Genomic DNA, 10,898 nt, shown 5'->3' on the forward strand with positions numbered 1-10,898 from the left:
TACAGAGAAGGTCACATTGGAAACGTTCGTAAAAATCTCAAGACAATAAGCAAGTTGCTATGTATAATTCATTTTTACCTCCTCTATTCTTGAGCTTTATTATAGGTCTTAAGTGTTTCAAGTAATATTGTATAAAATGATCAAATGAGTATTCAGTAATGGAAAAGTAACTGCATTTGTGTTCCAAGATTTTTAAGACAAAAGAAATATCAACTATTAATACAGTTGGCATCATAATCTCAGATATAATGTCTAGAATAGAAGTTATTGCCTGGAGGAAAAAAAAACACAAAACTTTTGGCTAAGGAGCTAATTCTGCATGAAAACTATCATTCTAAAACTAATGTTAAACAATATATTTTTTTATTTTTTAAAAAGTTGTCCACTAATGTAAAATAAACTCACACTGCATAGTCAATCAAAAATTTAGAAATATAAAATTAATACACTAGTATTGGAAGATGGCTAGAATCACAAACTGATAAAAGTGTAATCTTGAAAATAAACTACTTTGTCCCTGTATATCAAAGTATCTAATTGCCACTGGCAAAATTACTAGGAAGAAACTTAAAGTCTCCTTTTTACAAGAAGTTACTTTCTAGAACTGTTATATATATATATATACACACACACACACATATATACACACACACATATATATACACACACAATATATATATACATAATACATATATTGTGTATATATATGAATATATATATGTGTATTCGGTAATGGAAGAAGTAACTATTTTCAGGCAAAAGAATTCTACCTAAACTTTTTTTTTAGAACTCTAAATATACATATATATATGTTTTGGCAGAAACATTCAAACACCTGCATTTACTTTAATAATCTGTATTTAAAACATCTCTGTTCCAGGCCGGGCGCCGTGGCTGATGCCTGTAATCCCACCACTTTGGGAGGCCAAAGCGGGCGGATCACGAGGTCAGGAGATTGAGACCATCCTGGCTAACACGGTGAAATCCCGTCTCTACTAAAAATACAAAAAAATTAGCCGGGCCTGGTGGCGGGTGCCTGTAGTCCCAGCTACCCGGAAGGCTGAGGCAGGAGAATGGCGTAAACCCGAGAACCCGGGAGGTGGAGCTTGCAGTGAGCCGAGATCGCACCACTGCACTCCAGCCTGGGTGACAGAGCGAGACTCCGTCTCAAAAAAAAAAAAAAAAAAAAAAAAAAAAAGAAAAAGAAAAGAAACAGACAAACAAAATGTCTGTTCTAGTAAATTGCTCATTAATGTAGGTAAGTACACCTATACAAGGCTATGAACAAAAATATTTAAATTTAAAATTTGTGAGGATGGATGTACTACATTTTTCAAAAAGTAAAGATTTCCAGAAATACTGACCCCGTTGGAAACTACCCATCTAGTGTGCAGTAGCAATCACAAAGAATAAATCATTGGTTACATTGCTCTATTTTTTTCTAAGGTATTACAAAGCAAAAAATCTTCCACATGTCCATAGAGTATCTGGTTCAAATATATTTGCCAAATATTTTTATATTACAATTTTCCTTTTGCTATTCATTTACTTGAAGTTAATAGAAGCTGTTAGAAAGCAGAGTTGCTTTTGTTGGTGTTGGGGCTGAGGGAAAGCCTCCTCTTTCCCTCTGAAGTTTTGCTAAAAATCACCAAAAAGCAGATTAATAGGAGAAAAAACCTACAAATTTATTTAATGTGCACAGAGGAACCTTTAGAATCAGGACAGAAAGATACAGGGAAAATTGTTCATTTCTATGCTTAGTTTCAACAAAGTATGGACAGTCGTGTAGAAATGTGGATGGGCAATAAGGATATGATCTAATGCTAATAGGCTTGAGTGTTGAAACCCAGCAGGACCTGTCCTTCCAGATTCTCCTTGGCCTCTCTGTGCAGCATCCTTCCCTTCTGGGTATGGGGCAGGACGCTTTCTGGAATAAGGGCTTTATGACCTACAGTGATAACGGTAGGTCATATAGTTTCTTTATGGCCAGTTTTTACACAGGAATGCAGAAGGAAAGTTAAAGTAATATTTTTAGATTTTACAGTGGGTTTTGTGAAAAAGGGGTTCTGGTTTCTGACTAGCTGTGGAAAAAGGGATTCTAGTTTCTATGGCTAGCCTGGGGGAAGAATGGGATTGAGAGTTAGGAGATCGGGAGAAGGTTAGAGAAAAGCTTTTGCTTCTGAGGCTGCTTCTAAGGCTTTCATTATGGGGTACTGTTTTCTGAATTCCAACATTGGAAAATCCATTAGTACTATAAAAATGTGGTAACCAATGTTCTCTAGACTCTAAGTAAATTGTGAAAACTGACGGAAGCAATGTGTATGCTTAAAGGTAATGGCTAAATGAAACAGTATGTTTAAGTTTAATCACTTTACTTCTATCATTGATTTCCTTTACTTCCCTTTTCTAGTATGCCATACTCAATAACTTTTTGATCACATACCAATCAGAAATCAAGCATAGGCCTTAGAGCAGGAAGAAAAATGTTCTTACCAGTTTTGATTGGTCTCAATATTCTTGATTCCTTCTTGCTAATAGCCTTTTGGAACAACTTGATTTGCTTATTTAATCATATTTTCCTTGCAAGTTATATTTTCCCTGATCATAGCTCACCCAGATGTGAAGTTATTATTTGGCATTTTAATGTAGGCAAGGTAAGTATCAGCTCTAAAGAAGACAGTATGGAGCTTTAACCATAATATGCATCCACGTGTTTGCCTGGCAGATTCTTAGTCTAGGCAATGCCTACTGTTGGTGAAAACAAATTATGACCCTAGTGTTTATAGAGCTTGTAATAAAACACGGAGAAGAGGAATGGTTCAGCTATGATAGTTATATAAAAGTAAGGGCTAAATTATGTAGCATTCAATATAAACACACTCTAAGCCCATAAAATCATCTGTTAATACTAGCTGGAGTGGTATCCTAAAGCATTAAAGTGAAATAGAAAAATTTAGAGACACAATGGCTGGATTGAAATTCCAGCTCTGCCACATGCTACATTGGTGACCTTTGCCAAGTTTCTTAACCTCCTATGCCTTGTGTTTCTCATCTGTAAAATAGGAATAATATTATACTCAGCTCATGAGACCATTGAAACGATTAAATGAGATGATACATTTAAAGCAGTTAGCACTCGAAAATTTCTCAGCATAATGGAAGAACAATATGAGTGATAAAGGTTCAGTGAGAATTGGCCTGGCTTGTGTGATATTTCAGGATTGAGTTGACCTGAGTTTTAAGGACTGATAAGTAATTATTAGAGACAAATGAATTTCATCCTTATAGATGGTGTTCAAAGTTTTCCCTGCCAGATAAATTGTCAGAAACTTGTAAAACAAGGCCATAAAAGAGGGGTGGTATATCATACAAGGGGACAGGCACCTCAAGGATTTGGGGTCACACTGTGCCAGTAAAATAGCAGTTAACCACATGTGGCTATTATGTACTTTATGACTTGTCCTAATAAAGAGATCCTACTTAAAACATATACTAGGTTCGTAAGACTTAGTGTAAAAAAAGTATATATATCTTTTTAATTTTTTATGTTAATTAAATGGTGAAATGACAATATTTTGGATGCATTAGTTTACAAAAAAATACTATTAAACTTAATTTTATCTTTTTAAAATGTGTTTACTAAAAAACAAAATTATGTGTACAGCTTGCAATATAGTTTTATTTCTCTGTGCTAGTCTAGGGCAATGTATTTCGCTTATGCCATTAATCACTATTCATTAAAGTTCTTAGACATTTGGAAGTTCCTAGCTAGCTTCTGGATATTCAACTAACAGAGATACAAGTAATTTCTGTACAGTGGAAGAGATAACTGTAAAGATACATGACCTTGTAGACATCAAACTGTTTCAGAAAAATATATCTTAACATGACTTTGTTAAATTGTCTGTATATGTTAGTTTCGGTCATGCTCTTTGCACCATCATGAGATCTTACTGATTCCCTCATTAATTAATGAGTTAAGTAAAACTTTTGGCATGTGTTCACTTTCCGTTTGCTTGAGAGTCATACATTTCTTTGAAAATCATGCTTTATAAGTAAAACACTGAATTTGCTATAGTTGGTAATAAAAAGCCCTTTGACTATGCACATTACGGGAGAGTAATCAACAGAAGATTTTCATTATTAACTCGGTTTTGGATATGCTACATGAATTTTGTAGGCTCCCAAATTTATCTGTAAATTGCATTAATAACAATTCAAAAGTGTGACATTTAAATATGATAATGTACTTTAATGTCCACTACGGTATTTGAAATATAACAATTATTCAATAAATGACAATTTTTATTGTTATTTTTAATGAATGATTTATTTTTAAGTAGAATATTCTATAAAGTTTATTTACATTACATACATAGAGTAGTTATGAGAACAGAAAAAGAAATATTGGGAAAAGCACCTTGGAAAACATAGGATGCAGAAGATCTAGAAAATTGGTGACTGGAGTAAAAAGAAAAATGGGGGAATGAATTCATTAGACAGAATAGTAAGATTTAATGACATATTAAAAAGAAGGACTGTTAAAGGAAGAACAAACATAAAGAATGGCAATGCCATTTATAGAACCATATAATTGTGAAGTGGAAGGCGGTTTGCTGAGAAGTGTTTCTATGTTTTTCTCATGTTGTCTTTGAAATATAGGGAAACTTCTGTGGTTTGAATGTTTGTCCCGTCCAAGACTCATTTAGAAAATTAATTATCAAAGTAACAGTATTAAGAAGTGTGACTTTTAAGAAGTAATTAGGCTAGGGGGACTCTATTCACATGGGTGGGATTTGTGCCACTGGAAAAGAACAAGCTTGGCCCTCTTTCACCCTCTCTGCCATGGAATGATGCAGCAAGAAGGCCTTTGCCAGATGCTGGCCCCTGGATCTTAGACTTTCAGACTATGAGATCTTAGAGTTTCCGACTGTGAGAAATAAATTTCTACTCATTATAAATTACCCAGTCTCAGGTATTCTGCTTTAGCTGCCCAAAGCAAAGTAAGAATTCAGAATGATGATTTCTAAAGTCTTCTAGAAATTCCTGTAAACATACAAGTGAAAATTTAGAGTAGTTGGGTTTCTTCAGAGATCATTCACAATGGCTTTGACAGTTAAAGCTATGAATGTATGATCTCAGAAGTGAGTAGAGGAAGATAGAATAGGGTCTTATAAATCAGAATGAAGAGGAATAGAAGACAGAGATGGTTAAAGTACACAAATATTGGGAGAAAAACTAAGTGCAATATCAACTTGTCTGGAGTTTTACCTGATATTCTCTATTAAAATAATTTTATTAATTTCTATTTGCTGTTATTTCCAGAATCTGATGTATATAATATGCATGTTTTATAATGAATGCAATCTTCCTTATATAACAATAACTACAGCTGACCTATAAATTTGAAACCATCATCTCATTAGGCATGCTAGCTTCTGAAATCAGGAATTATCTATTAACCAATAACAGAAGCATTAAAATTCATTTTAACAAAATTTTACATTTGAAAAACTAGGTAAAAATTGCCTGTATGCCTGTGCTTGAAGATCTTAGTCTTTCTTAAATAATGGATTTTATCTTTAATTCTATATAATTAGAAAACAAAACATATTTAGATAAAACATTTATGTCAAATCATCAAGTTACTTCTACCAGTTCATTAGCTTAATATTCATAGCACATTAATATTTTCATATAGAAACTTAAACAAATAGAAACTCTGTTCTATAAAACTGAAGGGTAAGCATCTAAGCCATTTGTTCTCAAATTCAGCCATTGCTGTTATTACTGCAGAGTAATAAGAACTTAATTTTTATTGAAATAGGAGAAAATTTTAAAATGCTGACATTAATGAAATATAAATATTTAATGAGATTATCTTCCCTGCATGACTGGCTTTATTTTCAATTGTTTATCTTCATTATAATTCAAAAAATTAATTCTCCTTTTATTCAGGATAATGTGTATTTACAACTATAGGTCATATGCCAGAAATTTTGGCTGTTGTCCCTGAAATTTAATTAGAGGTTCAGAAGCCTCCTCAATAAGAAATTAACCTAACCCACTCTATTTTGAATTCTCTCAGAGAATACATGACAATGACGACTGGTATATATCCTGGATAAACATAATTTATGAAAATTGTTGTTGAACCAAAGTGATAACTTATTAAATGCAATGTTTAAAAGTCACAGTGAAAGAATCATAATGAAAAAAGCATAGGTTACAGTTTTTTCTTTTCCAATTATTTTCAATTAATGCAATACATATTTATTTTTTAAACAGGGTTAATATTTGTGTTTCTTTAAGACAATTTCCCTAGTGCAATACACTGAGTGTGGTAAATTTGAATGGCATCAATGAACCATCATTGACAAAATGATACTATGTTTTCCTTTTATTTAGAAACTACTGTGTCCATTTGTTGAAATACCTTTCACAAATATAAGAGTATAAGGTCAAGGAAATAATAAGTCTTATGGAATATACTTTTGAGTCTTTCTACATTACCAAATTCTCTACCTTCAAATAGAACCAAGAAGTATCAGGAAGCTTAAAAAACATAGTGAGCCTTGGATATCAGAATTAATTTGTTACAGTAGAATTGATACAGTAGATATCAGCTGATTTTCCATTTTTTTAATTAAAAATAAATTCTCTGGGATAATATGTAGAACTTAAGCAATAGTAAAATTTGACAATTTTAATTTTGTTTGTTCAATTTATTTGTCTCAAAAGATGCCAAATTAAAGTGCTGTAGCAGTTAAAGATGCTTTTTTACATTAACAATTAGTTGATTTTCACATAATAAAAATTGTTGGCTGCGTGCAATGGCTCATGCCTGTAATCCCAGCACTTTGGGAGGCCGGGGCAGGTGGATCACCTAAGGTCAGGAGATCGAGACTAGCCTGGCCAACGTGCTGAAACCCCATCTCTACTAAAAATACAAAAAAAAAAAAAAAATAGCCAGGCACGGTGGCAGGCACCTGTAATCCCAGCTACCTGGGAGGCTGAGGCAGGAGAATCATTGAATGCAGGAGGCAGAGGTTGCAGTGAACCGAGATTGCACCATTGCACTCCACCCTGGGCAACAAGAGCAAAACTCCATCTCAAAAAATAAAAATGTTCAATAATAAAGCATATTAAAATAAAATAGAATGACAGAAATCATATGTACCCCAAACATCAGTATGATGCAATATACCCAGGTAACACACCTGCGCATATACCCCCTGAATGTAAAATAAAAGTAAAAAAATAAAACAATATAAATAATTAAATAAATAAAATGAAGATCTGACTTATTCTGAAAATTTAATTAGGCTCATCTCACCATGTTTAATCTAAAGTGTTATACCATGATAACACTACATAAAAAGAATAGTTTAAAACAAAACAAGCTAATAGTCTTCCCCAATGCAGACTCTTGGCCAATCTAGAAAGGTTGGGCCATATATAACAGAGTTTTTGTCATCTCTTTTTTCTAAAATGAATGATAGAAGAATAAGGAAGAATTATAGTGCTGATTTTTGTAGTAGTGAGTATCCCCAGAAAAAAAATCTGTTTAATTTATATCACAAAGATAATTGTGTGTGTGTGTGTGTGTGTGTGTATGCATATGTCTCTTCCAAATACTAACATTACTGACTTTTTCAAAGCCAAGAAAATGTTGCAAAAGAGGAAAAAGAAAAGAGAGTATTTTATAGTACTACTTGCTAACTACCTGCTATGGTTTGTCTTTGCCAAAATTTATATTGAAATTTGATTGTGGCAACATTGGAGCTGGAGCCTAGTGGGAGGTCTTTGGGTTGTGGAAGTGGATTTCCTCATGAATGGCTGGGTGCCTTCTCAAGGTAGTGAGTACGTTCTCACTCTGGAGAGCCTGGATTAGTTCTTCTGGAAATGAGTTAATTCCTGAGAGAATGAATTTTTATAAAATGAGAATGCCCCTTGGGTTTTCCCTGCTTGTATGTATCTGCCTCCCTTTGACCTTCCGCTATGTTGTGACATAGCACCAGAAGCTGAGCAGATGCTGGCACCATGCCTTTGAACTTCCTAGTCTATAAAACCATGAGCCAAATGAACCTCTTTTCTTTATAAATTACACATATTCAGGCATTCTGCTATAGCAACACGAAACAGTCTAAGACACTACCCTATTCCTTTCTTACATTCTTGTAGGTGAGTTACTAAAGAAGGAGCTAGTATGCCTTCTTTAAAAAAAAAAAAACAATGGCATGGCAATTGTTTCTATATTTTTGCCATTCTTGCTATGTACTAAACATTTACATTTCTTCTTGGAACCACATTTAAATAGTTTTTCTTCCCCAAGGGTAAACCTCTTTAACACATAGTATAGGTAAACTATCCTTGTCTTTTAATCATTAGTTGGACCAGTATACCAAAAAAAAGAAAAAAAAAATCATTGCAATTTAAAAGGTAAATAATTTAAGTTTTATAAGTGCCTAATTTTTAAAGGGTCAAATGACCTTTTAGATATTTAATTTCTTCCCATTGTTAAAATGGAAAATAATTTTATTAAAATATGTAGTATAAAAATCACACACATTTCATAAAAACTTTAAAGAACTGTGGTAAATCAGTGAATTCCAATCTGTTCTTGGAAAGAAGAGAAGTACTTTAAAAATATTTCTTATTTTATTTTTAAAGAGAAATAACTTTGTACTAGTTTGTTCTCATGCTGCTATAAAGAAATACCAGAGACTGGGTAATTTATAAAGAAAAGAGGTTTAATTGAATTACACTTCTGCATGGCAGTAGAGGCCTCAGGAAACTTACCATCATGGTAGAAAGCATCTCTTCACAGGGAAGTAGGAGAGAGAATGAATGCAAGCAGAGGAAATTCCAGGCACTTTTAAAACCATCAGATCTTGTGAGGCTAACTCACTATCAGCAGAACAGCATGGGGGAAACACCCCCATGATCTGATTATCTCCACCTGGTCCTTCCCTTGACATATGGGGATTATGCGGATTACAGTTGAAGGTGAGATTTGGATGGGGACACAGCCAAATCATATAATCCTGCCCTGGCCCCTCCCAAATCTCATATCCTCACATTTCAAAACACAATCATGCCTTTTCAGGAGTCCCCCAAACTCTTAACTAATTCCAGCATTAACCCAAAAGTCCAAGTCCATAGTCTCATCTGCAACAAAAAAAGTCCCTTCCACCTATGGGCCTGTAAAACCAAAAACAAGTTAGTTCCTTCCCAGAAACAATGGGGGTACAGGTATTGGGTAAATATACACATTCTAAATGGGAGAAATTGACCAAAACAAAGGGCTATAGGCCCCATGCAAGTCCAAAATCCAACAGGGCAGTCATTAAACCCTAAAGTTCCAAAATGATCTTTCTTTACTCCATGTCTAACATCCAGGTCATGCTGATGGAAGAAGTGGACTCTGATGGCCTTGGGCAACTCTGTCCCTGTGGCCTTGAAGGGTACAAGTCCCATCCCAGCTGCTTTCACAGGCTGGTATTGAGTATCTGTGGCTTTTCCATGCATGTGGTGCAAGCTGTGTGTGGTCCTACTATTCTGGGGTCAGGAAGACAGTGGCTCTCTTCTCACAGCTCCATTAGGCAGTGCCCCAGTAGGGACTCTGTGTAGGGGCTTCAAACCCACATTTCCCTTCTGCACTGCACTAGCAGAGGTTCTCCATAAGGTATCCACCCCTAGAGCAAACCTTTGCCTGGTCACCCAGGAATTTCCACGTATCTTCTGAAATCTAGGCAGAGGTTCCCAAACCTCAATTCTTGACCTCTGTGCACCCACAGGCTCAAAACCATGTGGAAGACACCAGGGCTTGAGGCTTGCACCCTCTGAAGTAATGGCTGGAGCTGTACCATGGCCCCTTTTAGCCATGGCTGGGGCTGAAGCAGCTGGGATGCAGGGCACCATGTCCCTAGGCTGGACAGAGCAGGGGTTCCCTGGGCATGGCCTATGAAACCATTTTTCTCTCCCAGGCCTCTGGGCCTATAATGGGAGGGGCTGCTGTGAAAATCTGTGACATGCCCTGAAGTCATTTTGCCCTTTGTCTTGGTGATTAACATTCATCTCCTCATTACTTATGCAAATTTCTGTAGCAGGCTTGCATTTCCTCTCAGAAAATGGGTTTTTCTTTTCTATGGCATCATTAGGATGTGAATTTTCAAACTTTTATGCTCTGCTTCCCCTTGAATGCTTTGCCACTTAGAAATTTCTTCTGCCAGATACCCTACATCATCTCTCTCAAGTTCAAAGTTCCATACATCTTGACCGCAGGGGCAAAATGCCTCCAGTCTCTTTGCTAAAGCATAGCAAGAGTCACCTTTATTCCAATTCCCAACAAGTTCCTCATCTTCATCTGAGACAACTTCAGCCTGTACTTCATTGTTCACATCACTGTCAGCATCTTGGTCAAAACCATTCAACAAATCTCTAGGAAGTTCCAAACTTTACCACATCTTTTTTCTTCTTCTGAGCCCTCTAAACTGTTCCAATTTCTACCTGTCACCCAGTTCTAAAATTTCTTTCACATTTTTGGGTATCTTTATAGCAATGCCTACCAATGTACTGTGTTATTCTGTTGTCACACTGCTATGAAGAAGTACCCAAGACTGGGTAATTTATAAGGAAAAGAGCTTTAATTGACTGATAGTTCCACATGGCTGGGAGGCCTCAGAAATCTTACAATCATGGCAGAAGGCACCTCTTCACAGACAGGCAGAAGAGAGAATGGGTACAAGCAGGGGAAATTGGGGACACTTTTAAAACTATCAGATCTCATGAGACTCACTCACTATCACTTATCAGGAGAACAGCACGGGGGAAACTGCCTCCATGATCAGATTGCCTCTACCTGGTCCCACCCTTGACATATGGGGATAAGGGGG

This window comes from Homo sapiens, chromosome 3 (assembly GCF_000001405.40).
Source record: "Homo sapiens chromosome 3, GRCh38.p14 Primary Assembly".
Classification (NCBI taxonomy): Eukaryota; Metazoa; Chordata; class Mammalia; order Primates; family Hominidae; genus Homo; species Homo sapiens.